Source organism: Homo sapiens, chromosome 19 (genome assembly GCF_000001405.40).
Source record: "Homo sapiens chromosome 19, GRCh38.p14 Primary Assembly".
NCBI lineage: Eukaryota > Metazoa > Chordata > Mammalia > Primates > Hominidae > Homo > Homo sapiens.
Window position 1 is genome coordinate 5141879 of NC_000019.10, and position 20436 is coordinate 5162314.

Here is a 20436-nt window from a genome sequence, read left to right on the forward strand (position 1 = left end):
GGGCAGCAGGAGGGGTGGGCAGTTGCACCAGCTCTCTCCACTGCCCACAGTCCTGCCTGGAGGGGTAGGGCTCGGTCAGGAGGGAGGGGCTCTCTGCTCCTCAGGGGTTGGGGTTGTTTGCGAAAGCAGGTTGGTGGACAGCCACTGCGCCTCAGTGTGTGACAGGCTGAGGACACAGCTTCATGGGTGGTACCTAGCGGTGACCACCTGCTTCCTCCAGGCCGTGGTGCTCTGCAGACCTCTGAAGCCCACCCGCGTCGTCCTCACAGCCCTGTGGCCTCCGAGGAAGGACACCGAGCCGGGAACTTCGAACCAAACACCAGTGCCTGGGCCCTTCCAGGCCCCCCACGGGCCGTAGACCCTGACTCCCCGGCACACACTGGCCTGGGCCAGGCCAGCACTGGATGTGGGTCTTCAAACTGCGGCTCCCAGGAAGGGAGGTGACGGCCAAGAACGCCTGCCCGACCTCCTGTGGCCACAGCGCGTGGCGTGACTGGACCTCGCCTTAGTAGGGGTGGCTCTGGGCAACCTCGGCCCCAGGCACAGCTCCTGACAAATGGTCCCATGGGTCCGGGGGCACGCTTTTCACAACGTGGAGATGCAGGGTCATGGGCTGCCTGCTACCACGAGGCGGAAGGGGATGGTGCTGGGCACCAGCCTGCCCCGGGGCTGGGTTTCTCCTGGGCCTGGGCCGAGGGGTGGAGGCCTGTGGGTGACGTGTTCAAGACGGCTCAGCAACCCCACCTGACAGTGTCCAGGTGGGGCCTCTCCCCCACCCCCAGGCTCCCCAGGGAGCACAGCCTCCACTCCTACACACTGGCTACTCTGCCGGAGGGGGAGGCCGTGCTGGAGTGATGCCTGGCGCGTGTTGTGTGATGGGAGAATTGGGTATTTACAGTTTAATAACGAGATCTCGATGCCGTCGATCGGCCCTGCTCCAGGCCCTTGGCTTATCTGGCTTTTGAACGTGGTTTATAGAGTGGTGACGGTGCCGCTTATTAAATGCTTAGCTGGGCCTGGCGTGGGTGTGGCGGCCGCCAGGGCCCCGGTGCTGGCTCGGGCAGGTGTTGCAGCGGGAGCCTCAAGGGATGAAAGGTGGCTCTCCGGTGCTCCCTCCTCACCAAGGAGGCTTCTCTCAGGGCTTCTTATTAAAAGCCGATGTAAAGGACCTGCGCGATGGCTCACGCCTGTAATCCCAGCACTTTAGGAGGTCAAGGCGGGAGGATCCCTTGAGCTCAGGAGTTTGAGAGCAGCCTGGACAATATAGCAAGACTCCACCTCTACAAAAGTCAAAAATTAGCCAGGCATGATGGTTGCACCTGTGGTCCCAGCTACTCAGGAGGCTGAGGTGGGAGGATTGCTTGAGCCCAGGAGTTGGAGACCGCAGTGAGCTATGATCGCGCCGTGTGCTCCAGCCTGGGTGACAGAGCACCCAGGCTCAAAAAAAAAAAGAAAAAATCCTTCACTCTAACCATTCTAAAGTGTGCCACTCTATGTTTTTTAGTACATTCTGAGTTGTGCCAACTATCACACCGTCTAATTCCAGAACAGTTCATCACCCCATGAAGAATGGGCCCCATTACCAGTCGCTCCCATCCCCTACCCTGTGCCCACGAGCCCACTTCCTGTGTCTGGGGGTGGCCTGCCCTGGGGGTTGCAGAACACGGGGTCACATGGTCTGCACTCACCTCTGTGTCCCCAGGGCACATCTCTGTCGCCACGTGGTTCCTCTGGCTGAGCGACACCACGTGGGGCTCTTCAGTGTCTGTCCCAGCAGTCAGTGACACGCAGGGGGACGGGAGAGGACTCCCCGGGGGCTGATCTGTCCCAGCAGCCAGTGACATGCAGGGGGGATGGGAGAGGACTCCCCAGAGGCTGAGCAGCAGGAGGCTGGGTCAGTGGGTCTGGAGGGCTTGGCCAGGGAGGCTGCGGGCTCTGGGCTGTGGAGGGGAACCCTCACTGGGCAGAGCGCAGGGCCACTCCCGCGATGCCTCCCTTGAAGGCTGTGCCGGGAGGGGCCGGGGACTCCGTTCCAGGGTCCCTAGGGAAGCTCGAGCCCCATGCCCCTGCCTGTGTCCCCATCCCCAGAAATGCGTGTACTGCCGGAAGCGGATGAAGAAGGTGTCAGGTGCCTGTATCCAGTGCTCCTACGAGCACTGCTCCACGTCCTTCCACGTGACCTGCGCCCACGCCGCAGGCGTGCTCATGGAGCCGGACGACTGGCCCTATGTGGTCTCCATCACCTGCCTCAAGCACAAGTCGGGGGGTCACGCTGTGAGTGCCTGCCCGCCTCCTTGCCCCCAGCCCCTGGCTCCCGCCCCCACCGACACCCGCGCTGACCGCCCCCCACACCCTCCGCACCCTCCCAGGTCCAACTCCTGAGGGCCGTGTCCCTAGGCCAGGTGGTCATCACCAAGAACCGCAACGGGCTGTACTACCGCTGTCGCGTCATCGGTGCCGCCTCGCAGACCTGCTACGAAGTGAACTTCGACGATGGCTCCTACAGCGACAACCTGTACCCTGAGAGCATCACGGTGAGCTGTGGGGTGGGGCAGGGGGCGGGGGGAGGCTGGGAGCACAGCGACAACCTGTACCCTGAGAGCATCACGGTGAGCTGTGGGGGTGGGCGGGGGGAAGCTAGGAGTGGCCTGACTCCAGATCCCTTCATGGGGTCCCCTTGTCCTCAGGGCCCCAGGCCCCTTCAGGAAAAGCACCGCTCACTGTTCAGCAGAAAGCGACCCGCAGCCAGGGCTCTGCACCGCCCCGCTACCCCGGGCCCCCGCAGCCAGCTTTGGGGCTTCAGGCAGAGAACCTCACTTGCCAGCGCGGAGAGGGTCTAAAACCCAGCGACAGCCCCCAGCGTAGTGTGGCCAGGACCTCACCTCCCACCTCTTCTCCCTGCAGAGTAGGGACTGTGTCCAGCTGGGACCCCCTTCCGAGGGGGAGCTGGTGGAGCTCCGGTGGACTGACGGCAACCTCTACAAGGCCAAGTTCATCTCCTCCGTCACCAGCCACATCTACCAGGTAAGCGGGGGATCTGGCAGCCGCGCCATGCCTTCACCAAGCTCTTCTTGTAGGTGCGGGGACAGGAGGATCACACCCCTGGCCCAGGTGCCTTTGCCTGGGGCACTGGCGGGTGTGGGCCATGGTTAGTGAGGCCCGCAGGACCCAGCTGAGCCTTGGCTCGCCTGCCTAAGTTAGAAGCACAGGGCTTGTTTGTTTTCAAAGCTAAAGGGGCCTCCACTCGGGTGACATTTCCCTTTGAGACACCTTCTCAATTTTTCTTAACATAAGTTCTCCCTTTCACCGTTTTGGAGTGTACAGCTCAGTACCCCTGGGTTTTTTTTTTTTTAATCAAATTGGTAGTGAGTTTCTTCTCATGACTGTGGAAGAGGAATTATTTAAAAGTGTGGAATCTTAGACCGGGCACGGTGGCTCACCCCTGTAATCCCAACATTTTGGGAGGCCGAGGCAGGTGGATCACTTGAGGTCAGGAGTTCAAGACCAGCCTGGCCAACATGGTGAAACCCTGTCTCTACTAAAAATACAAAAATTAGCTGGGCTTAGTGACAGGCACCTGTAGTCCCAGCTGCTCGGGAGGCTGAGGCAGGAGAATCGCTTGAACCCGGGAGGCAGAGTTTGCAGTGAGCCGAGATCACACCACTGCACTCCACACTCCAGCCTGGGTGACAGAGCGAGACTCAGCCTCAAAAAATTAATTAATTAATTAAATGAAATAAAAGCGTGGAATTTTAGGAGGAGAGCTGCCCATATCCCAGCAGCTAGAAGCGTCGCTCCCAAGCCTGGTGCCGCACTTCCCTTGAGCTCCCCTGGCTCGAGGCTCCCGGGAGGAGGCGACAGCTTGTCTCTTCCAGTCACATCTGCCCCATTTGAGGAGTGGAAACGAAGCCTCACTCAGAGTCACCTCGGGTCACGCGGCGGGTCAGTCGGTGACGTCCTGGCCTTAGCTCGCACCCCGAGCCCCAAGTTCTTTGTAAACATCGGAGTTCAGCTCTTTACCACGTCGGTTAAGGTGAAAACCCTAACCCCTGCGATGGTCCCGAGGCCGCATTAAGGAAAGGTCCCGCCCGCATCTCCCGCCAGACCTGAATGAACTGAAATGATCGAGTGTCACTGAGTGCCCAGGACCACCCCTACCCCCCGCCGTGCAGGCCGGCCCCGCCCGGTCACCACTCTCGGACCTGTCACTGAGCATCCAGGACCCCCACCCCCGGCCGTGCAGGCCGACCCCGCCCAGTCACCACTCTCAACCTGTCACTGAGCATCCAGGACCGCCTTGCCATGCAGGCCGGCCCCGCCCGGTCACTGCTCTCGGACCTGTCACTGAGCATCCAGGACCCCCCCCGCTCCGCCGTGCAGGCCGGCCCCGCCCAGTCACCACTCTCGACCTGTCACTGAGCATCCAGGACCTCCTTGCCATGCAGGCTGGCCCCACCCGGTCACCACTCTCGGACCTTGCAGGGTCTTCCCTGCTCCTTGAGAAGGGGGTGGTTTCGGGGACAAGCCATCCCCATGGCCAGCCCTGTGGGAGCTACCACCAATCTCCAGACACTGTCACTTCTGCTCAGCTCCAGCCTTCCCTGGGGGGAGGCTCAGGCAGCTCCTTGGACTTCCTGATTGTGTTAGGCTTAGACCAAGGGCAAGGTCGATTTGCACCCCTTAGCCCATCCCAGGCAGCAGCAAAAGAGAATAATCCCTGCTCAGCTCACCTGGCAGCTCTTCTCTCAGGTTATGAGTTTCAGGTGGGCTGGGCGCGGTGGTTCACACCTGTAATCCCAGCACTTTGGGAGGCCGAGGCAGGAGGATCACTTGAGGCTAAGAGTTCGAGACCAGCCTGGGCAACAAAGTGAGACCCCCCCCCCCCCCACAATCTCTACAAAAAATTTTAAAAATTAGCTGGGCATGGTAGTGTGCGCGTGTAGTCTCAGCTACTCGGGATGCTGAGGTGGGAGGATCGCTTGAACCCAGGAGGTCGAGGATGCAGTGAGCTGTAATTGAGCCACTGTACTCCAGCTTGGGTGACACTGAGACCCTGTCTCCAAAAAAAAAAAAAAAAAAAAAAACAAAAACTCTGCTGGGAAGCATTCTGGTGCATCTAGTACACGGCAGGATGGGTGGGGTCTGTGTGACAGTGACAACACCCTCCGCCTGCCCCGGGAGCCTCAGAGTCTGGCCCAGGCAGGTCGGACTGGACTCCGAGGAGGGGAGGTTGAGCCAGGACCTCTAGAACACCATGGAAGTTTACTCCAGAGATCAGGCTGAGCATGTGCCAGTCTCTCTCCCTCCCTCAAGAAACCTATGGAGATGATAGAAAACACACAAATAGATAAATAGCCATTTATAACGTACACAGAGCACAACTGTGGTGGAAAATGACAAGGGAGACTCAGGGTGGGTCTTGACAACATCCCACAGAAGAGGCGCTGACGCAGCCCCCACCCTGGTGGCGAAGGAAGTGCTCCCAGGATCATTGTCATGTCACCAGAGCCCAGGCAGGGCCAGCGTCAGGGGAGCTCACCTCAAGGAAGCCGAGCTAATGAGACAGTCAGAAATGAGATGATGCCAGCCAGGCGCGGGGGCTCATGCTGTGATCGCAGCACTGTGGGAGGCTGAGGTGGGCAGAGCGCTTGAGCACAGGGGTTCGAGACCAGCCTGGGCAACGCAGCAAAACCCTGTCTCTACAAAAAAACAAAATTAGCTGGGCATGGTGGCACGCACCTTTAGTCCCAGCTACTTGGGAAGCTGAGGTGGGAGGATCACTTGAGCCTGGGAGGTTGAGGATTCAGTGATCCAAGATCGCGCCACTGCACTCCAACCCGGGTGATGAAACAAAGCCCTGTCTCAAAAAAAAAAAAAAAAAAAAGTCACATTTCCAGAGTGCTCGGGGCGGGGGGGCAGAGGCTGTGGAATCAGGAATGGGTGGTATCGGAAGCCAGCAAGCCACCGTGGAGTGCGCGCCTGCCTGCGAGGTGGCGGCAGGACCTCGATCACACAATCATGCAAACGCCCGCTGTGTGGTGGCCAAGGAGATGGGGCTGGAGCTGCCTGCCCCGAGGCCAAGGGCCTGGTCAGCGGGGCGGGTGGCTGGGGTGGGCCCAGGTGACAGCGAGGCCGAGTGGCTGAGACCCCCACATGCCAAGGCCCCAAGAGCCTCCCCGCCTGTCCGGAACACTTGGAACATGTTTCCCTCGCACGTGACCCCTCGAGATGCTTCTGAGACGTGCCGGGCAAGACGTCACCACAGGGAGCCCGGGCCGAGGCGCACGCCTCTGATTTCCTGTAGCTGCAAGTATATCCAGTTTTCTCAAAATGTTAAAAAGCAAACGCCGCCTTCAGAACTCGCCCTGTGGAGACTCATAGTGAAAGCACGTTCCAGGGAGGCCACTGGGAGGAAATCAGCCTGAGTCTCCAGTCAGCCCCCAGTTCCCAAATGACCCAGGCACAGAAGTTTCCCTGGAGCCCACTTGGACCCGGCAGTGTGAGCGCCATCCTCCTAGGCGGTTCTGTGCTCCTGAGAATCTGGGGCGGATCTCTGCAGTCTTCCTGACCCAGAAACCTGAGCCAGTTTCCACTGAGTTTCTAGAACGCGCCTTCCCCTCCTGGCAAGGCTGCTTCTGTGCCTGACTGAATCACTGTGTGCCACGCCTGCCAGAAGCCGAGAGGCCGAGTCGGGGCCGGGGAGCTGGGGAAAGGCAGCAGGTGGGCCCTGGGACTCCTGCAGTGGGAGCTCTAAAACCCGCTGCTGCCCGTGGCAAAGCGGAGCCTCCAAAACCCGCTGCTGCCCTTGGCAAAGCGGAGCCTCCAAAACCCGCTGCTGCCCGTGGCAAAGCGGAGCCTGGCCACGCCGGGGGTGGAAATCGCTTTCCGGGGTGCTGGGGCTCCGACACTAGGACTCCTTCACCCAGACTCTCCTCACCGGACAGACGCTGGGAAGGGGCCTTCTCCCGGTGGCTTTCCTCTACAAATGAGATGGGTAGGACGGGGCAGAGGGTGGCACCCATGTCCTTGGTTCCCAGCAGGCTCCTCCACACATCCCCGAGAGATGTGTGCTGTCGTCCCAGGACACGGCCCAGAGGCAACCGGCCATCTGAGAGTCCACACTGGGCACTCCCAGCCCTGCTTCTCCCGCCGCCTGCGCCGGCCAAGAGGCATGTGGAACCCACAGCAGACACTTGCTCCAGGGCCTACGTCTGTCTCCATCCCCACCCATCCCTGGAGGAGTCACAGGGACCGGCAGGCTTGGCTGCCCCAAGGCAGGGTCTGTGCTCCCTTGGAGAGGGAGGTGCTGCGATCCCGGGCCCCCCCGCTGCACACTACGTGGGGCGTCTAGCCCCAGACACACTTCCGCGATGGTCTTACTGTGTGACTTTTATACACTTCCGTCATGGTCTTAGTGTGTGACTTTTGTACGCTTCTGTGACAGTCTTATGTGTGCATTTTGTTCATTTTGAGACGGGGTCTTGATCTGTCACCCAGCCTGGAGTGCAGTGACATAATTAGAGCTCACTACAGCCTCCACCTCAGCCTCCTGGGTAGCTGGGACCACAGGCACATGCCACCATGCCTGGCTTGTTTTGAGTTTTTAAATGTGAAAAGCGAGCCCTCTGATATGGGAACCTTCTCCCCCTGGAGCAGAACGGCAGTCAGGCCCAGGGAGTGACCCCAGCACCTTTCCTGGCTTGGGAACACGGCGCCCATCGCAGTTATGAGGTGGGCCTGGAGACACGCCCCTCCCTGGCACGCCCTTCATGGGACAGTGTTGTGTTGCCAGAGGGCCCCTGAGAGAGTCTCCGCGAGCCTGAGCTGGCACCAAGCTTAACGAGGAGGAAGCGGGGTGCTCCCAGTGCCCCTCACCAGTCAGGCATCTGCCACCTGGAACAAGGCACCAGCTGGGGAGGCTGGAAGGGGGTGATTTTTCTCTGAGTTGAAGGGAAGAGGTGACTGAGCTGTTTTCAGAGGGCCACACATAAGCCAGGGACCCTGTCCTTCACCTTCTGGTTGGGGGCTCCTGAGCTCAGGCCCCTGAGTCCGCCTGTCCGGCCTCCCCTGCCTCCCAGGCCCTGTTAGGGCACTGCGCCTCCTGCCTGGCTCTGTGTCCACCAGTGACTCTGTCACCTTGTCCTGGGGCTGTGTCTTCATGGAGACAGATGTCTTTTGAGCTGGGAGGAGGTGAGGGGTGAGTGTTCTGTCTCCATGTGGAAGCTGCGGGGCCCTGCCTCTGCCCCAGGCTGTCCCGTCCTCCGTCATCCTTGCCCCGTGGTACGGGACCCTCAGCCTGATCCTTGTTTGCTGCAGGCGGTGTCAGAGGTGGACATGAGCTTCAGCTTGGCTGCATGTGGCCTCTAGCGGGCCCCATGCACCCAAGGGGGCTGGCCTCCCAGCTCTTGAGGCCGTGGCCTGCCTGGAGCACCTGCCATCCTGGCAGTGCCAGGCCCCTGAGAGCCACATCCCCCTGCAGGTGGAGTTTGAGGACGGGTCCCAGCTGACGGTGAAGCGTGGGGACATCTTCACCCTGGAGGAGGAGCTGCCCAAGAGGGTCCGCTCTCGGCTGGTGAGTGCGCGAGGCTGGCCTGGTGGCTCCGGGTGACTCAGGGAGCCCGTCTGGGACGAGGCAGGGCACAGACTGCGTCTTCCAATGGCGTGGACCACCCCCTCCTCTTGCACCTCTGCTGGAAGGGGGTCCCGGCCGCCCCAGCACAGCTGGTCCATGGGCTCCTGGCAGGAGACCCTTCCTTTGCCTTGACTCCTGGTGCCGCAGCTCCTGGGCGATGCCGTTAATGTGGGGAGGGAGGGTTGGAGAAGCCCCGCCCCTCCCCTTATCACGAATGCAGAACAGACCCTCCCAGCCCCCTGTGCCCTGCAGGACCCGCGCTGCCCCACCCTGCACAGGGCGGCCTCTGAACCATCACAGGTTTTGGGGTACAGGCGAAGTACGGGCACCCCAGTTGTCGGCTTAAAAAAGCTTTTCCTGAGGTTTTTCCTTATTAAACGGGAGCCTGAGTCCTGGAGGCAGCGGAGGCAGCTCCAGCTTTCGCTCCCCCAGCCCTCATGGGCTTCCTTTATTCTCTTTCTAATCGAGAGGCGAGAGGCGAGGTGTTGAGGGGCAGAGCCCGTGGGGGAGGTTCCTGGTCCTGGCCACAGCTGCTCAGCCGCAGAGGGGTCCCTCGGAAAACAGATGGGAGCTGCCAGATGGACGGTCCCAGCCCCAGCCAGGGTGCCCACCCCACTAGGGGGCCAGAGGCTGGGGCCGAGTGCAGGGCCCCTCTGCTGGCAGGATCAGGGGTTTACAAACACGAAAACAGGAGCCTGCTGAGCAGCCCCCACAGCAATCAGGGCTCTGTGTCCAGCCAGCTCCTCTCAGAGGCCATAGACAGTGGCTGGGGCCGCACAGAGTGTCTCCACCGTGCTAACCACTGTGCTTCCGCTCTCCCGCAGTCACTGAGCACGGGGGCACCGCAGGAGCCCGCCTTCTCGGGGGAGGAGGCCAAGGCCGCCAAGCGCCCGCGTGTGGGCACCCCGCTTGCCACGGAGGACTCCGGGCGGAGCCAGGACTACGTGGCCTTCGTGGAGAGCCTCCTGCAGGTGCAGGGCCGGCCCGGAGCCCCCTTCTAGGACAGCTGGCCGCTCAGGCGACCCTCAGCCCGGCGGGGAGGCCATGGCATGCCCCGGGCGTTCGCTTGCTGTGAATTCCTGTCCTCGTGTCCCCGACCCCCGAGAGGCCACCTCCAAGCCGCGGGTGCCCCCTAGGGCGACAGGAGCCAGCGGGACGCCGCACGCGGCCCCAGACTCAGGGAGCAGGGCCAGGCGGGCTCGGGGGCCGGCCAGGGGAGCACCCCACTCAACTACTCAGAATTTTAAACCATGTAAGCTCTCTTCTTCTCGAAAAGGTGCTACTGCAATGCCCTACTGAGCAACCTTTGAGATTGTCACTTCTGTACATAAACCACCTTTGTGAGGCTCTTTCTATAAATACATATTGTTTAAAAAAAAGCAAGAAAAAAAGGAAAACAAAGGAAAATATCCCCAAAGTTGTTTTCTAGATTTGTGGCTTTAAGAAAAACAAAACAAAACAAACACATTGTTTTTCTCAGAACCAGGATTCTCTGAGAGGTCAGAGCATCTCGCTGTTTTTTTGTTGTTGTTTTAAAATATTATGATTTGGCTACAGACCAGGCAGGGAAAGAGACCCGGTAATTGGAGGGTGAGCCTCGGGGGGGGGGCAGGACGCCCCGGTTTCGGCACAGCCCGGTCACTCACGGCCTCGCTCTCGCCTCACCCCGGCTCCTGGGCTTTGATGGTCTGGTGCCAGTGCCTGTGCCCACTCTGTGCCTGCTGGGAGGAGGCCCAGGCTCTCTGGTGGCCGCCCCTGTGCACCTGGCCAGGGGAAGCCCGGGGGTCTGGGGCCTCCCTCCGTCTGCGCCCACCTTTGCAGAATAAACTCTCTCCTGGGGTTTGTCTATCTTTGTTTCTCTCACCTGAGAGAAACGCAGGTGTTCCAGAGGCTTCCTTGCAGACAAAGCACCCCTGCACCTCCTATGGCTCAGGATGAGGGAGGCCCCCAGGCCCTTCTGGTTGGTAGTGAGTGTGGACAGCTTCCCAGCTCTTCGGGTACAACCCTGAGCAGGTCGGGGGACACAGGGCCGAGGCAGGCCTTCGGGGCCCCTTTCGCCTGCTTCCGGGCAGGGACGAGGCCTGGTGTCCTCGCTCCACCCACCCACGCTGCTGTCACCTGAGGGGAATCTGCTTCTTAGGAGTGGGTTGAGCTGATAGAGAAAAAACGGCCTTCAGCCCAGGCTGGGAAGCGCCTTCTCCAGGTGCCTCTCCCTCACCAGCTCTGCACCCCTCTGGGGAGCCTTCCCCACCTTAGCTGTCTCCTGCCCCAGGGAGGGATGGAGGAGATAATTTGCTTATATTAAAAACAAAAAATGGCTGAGGCAGGAGTTTGGGACCAGCCTGGGCTATATAGCAAGACCCCATCACTACAAATTTTTTACAAATTAGCTAGGTGTGGTGGTGCGCACCTGTGGTCCCAGCTACTCGGGAGGCTGTGGTGGGAGGATTGCTTGAGTCCAGGAGGTTGAGGCTGCAGTCAGCTCAGATTGCACCACTGCACTCCAGCCTGGGCAACAGAGCGAGACCCTGTCTCCAAAAAAAAAAAAAAGCAATGTTTATATTATAAAAGAGTGTCCTAACAGTCCCCGGGCTAGAGAGGACTAAGGAAAACAGAGAGAGTGTTACGCAGGAGCAAGCCTTTCATTTCCTTGGTGGGGGAGGGGGGCGGTTGCCCTGGAGAGGGCCGGGGTCGGGGAGGTTGGGGGGTGTCAGCCAAAACGTGGAGGTGTCCCTCTGCACGCAGCCCTCGCCCGGCGTGGCGCTGACACTGTATTCTTATGTTGTTTGAAAATGCTATTTATATTGTAAAGAAGCGGGCGGGTGCCCCTGCTGCCCTTGTCCCTTGGGGGTCACACCCATCCCCTGGTGGGCTCCTGGGCGGCCTGCGCAGATGGGCCACAGAAGGGCAGGCCGGAGCTGCACACTCTCCCCACGAAGGTATCTCTGTGTCTTACTCTGTGCAAAGACGCGGCAAAACCCAGTGCCCTGGTTTTTCCCCACCCGAGATGAAGGATACGCTGTATTTTTTGCCTAATGTCCCTGCCTCTAGGTTCATAATGAATTAAAGGTTCATGAACGCTGCGAAACCCCGTTCCATGCCCCGGCAAGTGTCTTCATTTCTGAGCCTGTGCTAGGGGGACTGATGTTGGGGCCTCCCTGGGGTGGGGCTGCCTGCGCCCCGTTCTCCCGGGAGAAGGTTTGCTTCCAGAGCTGGATGTCCCTCCCCTCCCACTCTCCAGGGTCCCCAACACACCCCCACACACCCAGGGGCAGCTGTCATGCCCCTCATGCTGTGGCCAGGCTGGGTGGCTGGGGCAGCGGACCCCATGATTCCCCCTCAGTTCTCTGGAGGCCTGGCCCTGGCCTCACTCGTCCCAGCCAGCAGCTGCCCTGTCCCTGTCCCCCATCCGGTTCTGGTTACATCTGAGCCCCGAGAGCATTGCTTGTGGTGGTGGTGGCTGGCAGACGTGCTAGGCGCTGGGGCTCACGGCCCTGGATGGCCACTGGGACCCAGCAGTCCTGGCCTGGGTCACTCAGTGCCCAGCCCCACCAGGCCTGGAGTCGGCAGAGGGGACACGGGAGACCTGAGCCTCCCTCAGGGAGGTGACCCTCCTGTGCCTGGTGTGCGGCAAGAACATGAAGAGGCCCCTGTGGCTGGAGCAGAGGGAGGCAGGGGAGAGGGGGAGGAGGGGAGGCAGGGTGTGCAGGCCCTTGTGGGTCTCGGGAAGGACTTGGGCTTTGACCCTGAGGGAGGTGGGAGCCATGGAGGGGTGTGGGCAGGGGAGGGATGGGCCCTGACTCAGGTGCTCACAGGCGCCCTCTGGTGATTGCTGTGGGGAGGAGACGGGGTAAGGGCAGAAGCTAGGGACCAGGGCAGGGGTCAGGTGTAGTGAGAAGTGGGTGGATTCTGGATGCATTTTCAGTGCAGAGCCAATAGGATTCGCAGATCACCCGAGCCCCTGGAAGGAGGCGTTGAGCTGGGAGGGGGTTGGATTTGAACACCAGACGTCCAGGTGAAGGTGCTGGGTCTGGGGAGGCCGCCCCAAGGCAGGTGGTCAGGGGCCGTCAGCTGGCAGGTGTTGGAACTAGAGGATGAAGTCACCTGCAGGGAGTGGGTGGAGGTGGGGTGGGACCCAGGACTGGGCCCTGGGTGTCTGTGGTGGGACGGGGGCTGGGACACCCGGAGAAACCCAGGCCCAGCAGCCAGGGCTCGGGGGGACGCGGCCAGGCCATCCCTCCCTGGGCCCCGGCGTTCCCTCTGCAGAAGGAGTGTCCACCTGCCTGCTGTGCCGAGGGCTTGTGTCCTGAACAGAGGGTGCCCTTGACAAAAAAGCTTCATCCACCTACTGCCCCCAGCACCGACTCTCCTTTCTGGGGCCCTCTCGCCTCCAGCATCCTCTCAACACCACCAGGACTCAGTTCCCCTGTGTGCTGCAGGTGGGGAGGAGGGATCCAGGGTGGGGTGAAGCCCGTGGCCACAGGAGGCTTGGATGCTCCACCTGCTGCGATTTCCCGACAAAGACTGTGTCCCTCTTTTCTCCATCTCGAAAGCCTTCCCTGTGTGCGGGGACAGACACAGCCTGAAACCAAAGCCTCTGGGGTGCCCCCCCGCCCGCCCTAGGCCCTGTGAGGTCAGCGTCCCTGGGCCTCCCCAAGCTGGCAGAGGGGCCGTGGCAGGAGCAGGTGGTGCCTGCAGCGTCCTTTCCATTGTTCTCCAAAACGCTCTAAAACGGGAAGGCTATTTGGGACAGGCTGTTGCTGTCTGCCGAGCAGAGTAAAGATGAGTGGATAGGTCCCCAAAAGTGTCACCGTGCGGAGCCGATGAGGTCTGCACTCGGGCCGGGGTGGGTGCCCCGATGCCGAGGTCTCGTATCTCGGGGCAGTGTGTGAGACTCCGTAATCAGCACCTGAGTTTGGTTCATTTATTCCAGCTGCAATATTTTTATGCAACCTCTGTGCCAGGCTCTGGGGACACTGCTGAGGAAAAGGGAGAAAAAAACAAAAATACATCTTTAATGCATGCTCTGAAAGACAAGAACGGGGTCAGAGATGGAGGGTAAGTGGTGGTCGGTCACAGACCACCAGAAGGGTGTCAGTGGACACCCTTTTTATTAAAGAGGGACTCTTAAACAGATATGACCCCCCGATGGGACGGCAGATCAGAGAATCAGGCTGTGGGTACATTGTGTTGAGAGCAGGCACCTTCTAGGGCAAGGCCTGGCAACCTACAGCCCTCCGACCAAATGCAGCCCGCCACCTGTTTTTGTCAATAAAGTTTTGTTGGCACATGGACATGCCCATTCATTTACATATGACAGCTGGCGCCCCGACAACAGCAGACCTGAAGAGTCACTGCAGAGCCCACCTGGCCTGCAAAGCCCAATGTATTTAGAATCTGGCCCTTTATGGGAAAGAATGTGCTCAGCCCTGACTTAGAAGAAGTGGGTGGTGGCAGCCTCCACCCTTTCTCTATGCCTGCAACAAAATGTTCTCCCATAGGGACAGCCCCTCAGTGCCCAGGTCCACCTTGGCTCTCAAAGGCTTCCAGTTAGATGGACAGTGGGCAGCCAACTGCCCCCGCTGCCACCCGCAGGAGCGGGTGGAAAAAGGAGGCTTTGACCAGGGACTTTGATTCATCTGTCCATCTGTCCGACCCACTGGGGGTGCTCTGCCCTCTACCCTTGGGCCACCTGCTGCCCAAGTGCTGGGGTCGGGGAGAGCCTGACACACTCAGCCTCCGACCCCTGCAGCTGCCCCCCACCAACCCCACCATTCACGGATTGGGCTCCCTCCCCTTCTGCAATGGAGAGTTCTGGCTCCCACTCCACCACGGTCAAGATTCACGGCTCCCATGACGGTGCTAAGATCCCGATGTGTCTCCCTCTCTCCCTGTGGCCACCGCCCCGACTCCTCCCACAACCTCAAATTGTCCCCTGGCCCCATGAGGCAGCTCTGGAACTCAAGAGTCACAGCCTGGTCATGATCATCAGGGAGAGAAGCTCCCAGGGACTCCCAGGGCCCCAGAGACGAGGCACAGAACACAAGGAAGCTGGGGGACACGCCTGGGGCCTTGGCACCAGCCCGGGGAGGGTTATTTACGGATTAGATTTACTCAGCGCTGCTGCTCTGTTAATGGAGAATATAAAAATTATTTGCTGCTGCAGGCAGTGTGAGGGGTGACAGCAGCCAGGAGGCGGGCGGAAGAGTGGGTGGCTCAGGGCATCCGTGCCTCCCAGCTAACTCGGTGACAGGGACAAATGCCTCCCTTCCCTGCAGCTTCCAGACGGAGGAGGGGGTCCTTGTGGCCACGACAGCCTCCACCCCCACCAGCCCCAGCAGCTGCTTTAGAAACACAAAGCCAGCCATGTACGGTGGCTCACGCCTATAATCCCAGCACTTTGGGAGGCTGAGGTGGGCGGATCACCTGAGTTCAGGAGTTTGAGACCAGCCTGGGCAACATGGAGAAACCCCGTTTCTACTAAAAATACAAAAAATTAGCCAGGCATGGTGGTGAGTGCCTGTAATCCCAGCTACTCGGGAGGCTGAGGCAGGAGAATCACTAGAAGCCAGGAGGCAGAGGTTGCAGTGAGCCAAGCGCGTGCCATTTCACTCCAGCCTGGACAACAAGAGCAAGACTCCATCTCAAAAAAAAAAAAAAAAAAAATAGAAAAAAAGAAACACAAAGCCCAAAGTATGGGTGCCAAACGGGAAGTTTGAAAAGAGTCTCTGTGTCCCCCACCCCTTCCCAGGGCCCCTGCTGGTTCCAGAACATCTGTTGCCCTCTCACCCCCGTACTCATCAGAGTGCTGCAAACTGGGGAGCTTCAACAGAGAATTATCCTCTCCCAGCCCTGGAGGCCAGAAGTCTGAGATCAAGGTGTCAGCAGGGCCACGCCCCCTCCCAAGAGTCCAGGGGGATCCTTCCCCACCTCTTCCAGCTTCTGGTGGCCCCAGGTGTTCCTGGGCTTGTGGCCAAATCACTGCAGTCTCTGCCTCTGGGGTTACACACCCGTCTCCTCCTCTTCTCCATGTCTGCTGTGTGTGTCTAATATAAGGACACTTGTAATGGGACTTAGGGTCCACCCACATAGTCCAGGATGATCTCCAAATCTCAAGATCCTTAATTACATCTGCACAGGCACTCTTCAAGGAAAAGGTCACAGCCCAGGGTTCTGGAGAAGAAGATGTGGACAGATCTTTTTGGGGGCCATTAGTCAAGCCACCACCGCAATGTCTGTTTCCCCATCACAGATCAATAGCCCCATCCCTAATTGCCTGGTCCTGTGACTGCCACCTCCCACCTCCCCTGAGAGGGTAAGGATATGGTCTTGGTCCCCAGGAAGTGGCAGGGGGTTCTGTGAGTCCTGGTGTTGGTGGAAGTCAGGCTCTGGAAGGACCCCGGAGGCGAAGGCTCTGGAGGGAGGACCCGACGGAAGGACAGGCATGAACTTGGCATGTGGATTCCCCATGGGTGGGTCTGAGAGCCATGGAGGATGATGTAGCAACTAGTACAGATGGCCCAGGACTTAGCCCAGGGTGGTCATGGCTGTCTCCCACACTCACCAACCGTGATCTTATGTCCAGAGTTGGTTCCTTCTGGTGGGTGCATGGTCTCGCTGACTTCAAGAATGAAGCCGCAGGCTGGGCGCAGTGGCTCAGGCCTGTAATCCCAGCACTTTGGGAGGCCGAGGCGGGCAGATCACAAGTTCAGGAGATTGAGACCATCCTGGCTAACACAGTGAAACCCCATCTCTGCTAAAAAATACAAAAAAAATTAGCCAGGTGTGGTGGCAGGCGCCTGTAGTCCCAGCTGCTCGGGAGGCTGAGGCAGGAGAATGGTGTGAACCTGGGAGGTGGATCTTGCAGTAAGCCGAGATCGCACCACTGCACTCCAGCCTGGGCGACAGAGCAAGACTGTGTCTCAAAAAAAATAATAAAATTAAAAAATGTTAAAATAAGAATGAAGCCGCGGACCTTCACAGTGAGTGTTACAGCTCTTAAAGGTGTCTTGGACCCAAAGAGTGAGGAGCAAGATTTATTGTGAAGAGCAAAAGAACAAAGCTTCCACAGCGTGGAAGGGGACCCGAGTGGGTTGCCGCTGCTGCCTGGGCTGGCCAATTTTTTCCCTTATTTGTCCCTGCCCATGTCCTGCTGATTGGTCCATTTTACAGAGTGCTGATTGATCCATTTTACAGAGTGCTGATTGGTGCATTTTACAAACCTCTAGCTACAGAGCGCTGATTGGTGCATTTTTACAGAGTGCTGATTGGTGCATTTTACAAACCTCTTGTAAGACAGAAAAGTTCTCCAAGTTCCCACTCAACCCAGGAAGTCCAGCTGACTTCATCTCTCAATCCCCCATCTAAACAGGACACCCCAACTGCTGTTGGGAATTGGGCGATGACCGCTCTAGCTACTTCCTGCTGGATAGGGGCGAAGAAGGGGCCCTGCAGTTGTGGTGTCCTCCAGAGGGGAACTCTTTAGGCCAGTGAAAGGGCCAGCAGGTTGGTCCAGGGGTCCTCAGTAGAAGTTGTTAGTTGAGCTCATTTGGGGTTCCATTTGTAAGATCATCTGTAGCTTGATGGCCTCAATCCTAGAGGAAACAAATTTGACAAGGAGGTTAAAAATACAGGGCCTGAAGGCAAGTAATAGCAAGATGGCTGTCACGGGACCTAGAAAGGGGAAAAGCCATGTCGCCCAATTCCAGAGGTTGTTATAAGAGTTTGAAAGGCATTGTCTGATTTCAGAAGCCTTTTCCTGTAAACGCCAGGCGGCGTCTCCTATTATCCCTGACTGATTAGCGGAAAAACAATGCTCTTCCCCTAAGAAGGTGCAAAATCCTCCTTTCTCAGCAGTGAGGAGGTCTAGACCTTGACGGTTTTGGAGTCACTGATGCCAAAGAGTCTATTTGGGATTGTAGAGTAAGGATAGATTTTGTTATTTCTTGCAAACTGTCTGAGAAATCCTTTGAGAGTGTGTGGTAGTAGGCTAGTGAAGTGGACAAACCTGCTATTCTGATTCCTGTAGCAGTGGCCATTCCTAACCCTGTAAGTAGGGGTATTAGTTGTATGGCTCTGTGCTGATGGAGTTGAGCTTTGAGGGGCACTGATAGGGTCTGATTTCCACAAGATTAGAAGTTAGGATAATACATGTTACACTGTTGTTAACTTTTAGCAAACTTTACTTTTGTTGAAAACCTTGTAAGTCTGGGATTTCAATTATTCTTTGCTATTAATAAGACCTCGTTCAGTCCATATTAACTTAGAATTGGTATAGATGGCTCCTTCCTGATTCTGTAAGTACTTTAAGGTTTGGCTGAGTGCAAACAGCTCTCACGTTTGAGCAGACCAATTATTAGGCAATTTTAATACCCATTGTATCTTTTTCCCTTAATCACCGGAGAGGAACCATCTATTGTCCTGTCCTGAAGGGAGTACCTTCTAGGTCTGGTCAGACCTTTGTATGGTAATTAGGATTTAGATCCCCTATTAGGAAACCTGCTGGGTTAAGGATTTTTGATAGGAAAGCTACAGGTTGTCAGTGGCCTCAGTGCTTTCAGGCTACGCCCCTGTTTACGCTGACAACAAGGTGGTATTGGAGTGTTACAGGGTCATGGAGAAGACCTCCAATTAACAATTGTAGGTTTTAAATTTACCCAGGCTTTTAAAGGCATAGGGTACACTGTTTTTTTCTTTACTACTTCTATCTCTTTCTTTCTCTCTTTCCTTCTCTCTTTGACTTTCTGTCTCTCTCTCTCTTTCTCTCTCTCTCTGACTCCCTCTTTGTCTCTGTCTCTTCCTCTCTTTCTCTCTTTCCTTCTTTCTTTGACTTTCTGTCTTTCCCCTCTCTCTCTCTCTCTTTCTCTCTTTGACTTTCTGTCTCTCTCTTTCTGTCTCTCTCTGACTCCCTCTTTGTCTCTGTCTCTTCCTCTCTTTCTCTCTTTCCTTCTTTCTTTGACTTTCTGTCTTTCCCCTCTCTCTCTTTCTTTCTTTCTTTGACTTTCTGTCTCTCTCTCTTTCCTCTCTGCTGGTCTTTCCCTGCCTCTCCTTCCCCTTTTTGATAGCTTCAGCAGTGTAAGACTGCCACCTCCTTGGGGTTTTTGCACTGCATGCAATAGCTCCATGATTTCCTTGTGGTATTTAATGGGGGTTCCCCCAGAGGTTAGGAACTCCTTTTCTTTCCATATTGCAGCATGGGCATGTAGGATTAGATAAACATACTCGCTATCTGTATACACGTTCTTTTTCCCTTTCCCAGTTCTAAGGCTCAGATAAGTGCCACTAGTTCTGCTAACTGAGCGCTGGTCCTTGGGGGAAGAGGCTTACTTTCAAGTACTGTTACATAACTATGGCATAACCTGCCCTTCATATCCCATTCTCCACAAGTGAACTTCCATTGGTATATGGATTAAGGTCAGGATTAGCTAAGCGGACTTCTAAGAGATCCTCTCAGGCGGCCTAAGTCTGGACTATAATTTGTTGGCAGTCATGCTTGATTGGTTTCCCATCCTCTGGGAGAAAAGTGGCAGGATTGAGGGGTGCACACATGCGTATTTGAAGGACCATTCCCTCAAGTAACACCTGGTATCTAAGCAGGCGGTTGTCTAATAGCCATAAACTTCCTTTGGCACCTAGTATGCCATTTACATCATGAGTAGTCTGGACAGTGAGATCCTTTCCTTATATTATTTTGATAGCTTCTGATACTAAGATGGCCATCGCCGCAACTACCTGTAAGCAGTGAGGCCAGGCTTTTGCTACTACGTCAATTTCCTTAGGTACACCACTAGTTGTAGGGTTGTCTCACGAGTCTGAGTAATGACTCCAAGAGCTATTCCTGCTCTCTGTGTGACGTATAAAGAGAGGTTTGTTCCTGTGGGAAGGCTTAAGGCTGGAGCTTGTAGTAGGGCCTGCTTTAAGGTTTTGAAGGCTGTTTCTGCCTCTGGTTCCCATTCTACTAGATGAGTATTTGCCCTCTGGGTCTCCATTCTACTAGATGAGTATTTGCCCTCTGGGTCTCCTTAGAGTGTATCTCGCTGTATCTGGGGATCCATAGTCGGCAAAAGCCAGTGATTCCAAGGAACCCCCACAACTGTTTTAATGTCTTAGGGCGAGGATAAGCCAGTATAGGCTGTATTCATTCCTTGCTGAGGGCCCTGGTTCCTCTGGCCAAGATTAGGCCTAGATATTTGACTTGTAGGCAGAGCTGGGCCTTTGATTTAGACATCTTGTACCCTTGATTAGCTAGAAAATTCAAGAGATCGAGAGTAGTCTGCTGGCATGAGTCTTCCAAACTGGTAGCCAAAAGTAAATCATCCACATATTGAAGGACCAGAGTGCCTGGACTTAAGAAGTGGCCTAAATCTTGGGCCAGTACCTGACCAAACAGATGAGGGCTATCCCTAAACCCTTGGGGCAAGACCTTCCATGTAAGTTGGGACCTGTGGTCTGTGGGATCCTCAAAAGCAAAGAGAAACTGGGAGTCAGAGTGCAGGGGAATACAGAAGAAGACATCCTTGAGGTCCAGAACAGTGAACCATTCTGCTTCCTCTGGTATTCAAGAGAGCAGGGTATAGGGGTTGGGTACAACTGGATATAGAGGAATTACTGCCTCATTGATTAGTCTAAGATCTTGCACTAGCCTCCACTGACCATTTGGTTTTTGTACTCCTAGAATTGGGGTGTTGCAGGGACTACTGCATTTTCTTAGTAAGCCTTGAGCTTTTAAATGTCTGACAGTATCCTGTAATCCTTTATGAGCTTCAGGCCCTAAGGGATATTGCCTTTGATAAGGAAAATTGATG

The 20436-nt window shown here is 56.9% G+C and overlaps 1 protein-coding gene across 8 annotated transcripts in view, besides 3 other annotated features; it reads left to right on the plus strand.

Annotated features, from left to right (window-relative positions):
* Window positions 1-11720, plus strand: part of KDM4B (lysine demethylase 4B) — a 184486-nt gene extending 172766 nt beyond the window's left edge. For all 8 annotated transcript variants that reach the window (XM_005259521.5, NM_015015.3, XM_011527814.3 and 5 more), the window contains 5 exons: window positions 2089-2274; window positions 2370-2534; window positions 2905-3024; window positions 8480-8572; window positions 9457-11720. In XM_005259521.5, the coding sequence (XP_005259578.2) occupies window positions 2089-2274; window positions 2370-2534; window positions 2905-3024; window positions 8480-8572; window positions 9457-9633 (741 nt within the window). In that variant the 3' untranslated portion in view covers window positions 9634-11720. The remainder of the gene's footprint in view (window positions 1-2088; window positions 2275-2369; window positions 2535-2904; window positions 3025-8479; window positions 8573-9456) is intronic.
* Window positions 9386-10157: an enhancer, noted in NCBI's record as "H3K27ac-H3K4me1 hESC enhancer chr19:5151275-5152046 (GRCh37/hg19 assembly coordinates)". NCBI's record gives its function as "activates a minimal SCP1, AML or CMV promoter by ChIP-STARR-seq in naive H9 embryonic stem cells {active_cell/tissue: H9 hESC(naive)}" and the evidence as "EXISTENCE:reporter gene assay evidence [ECO:0000049][PMID:30033119]".
* Window positions 12088-12588: an enhancer, noted in NCBI's record as "H3K4me1 hESC enhancer chr19:5153977-5154477 (GRCh37/hg19 assembly coordinates)". NCBI's record gives its function as "activates a minimal SCP1, AML or CMV promoter by ChIP-STARR-seq in primed H9 embryonic stem cells {active_cell/tissue: H9 hESC(primed)}" and the evidence as "EXISTENCE:reporter gene assay evidence [ECO:0000049][PMID:30033119]".
* Window positions 12346-12405: a silencer, noted in NCBI's record as "silent region_9919". NCBI's record gives its function as "represses an Ori minimal core promoter by ATAC-STARR-seq in GM12878 lymphoblastoid cells {active_cell/tissue: GM12878}" and the evidence as "EXISTENCE:reporter gene assay evidence [ECO:0000049][PMID:35858748]".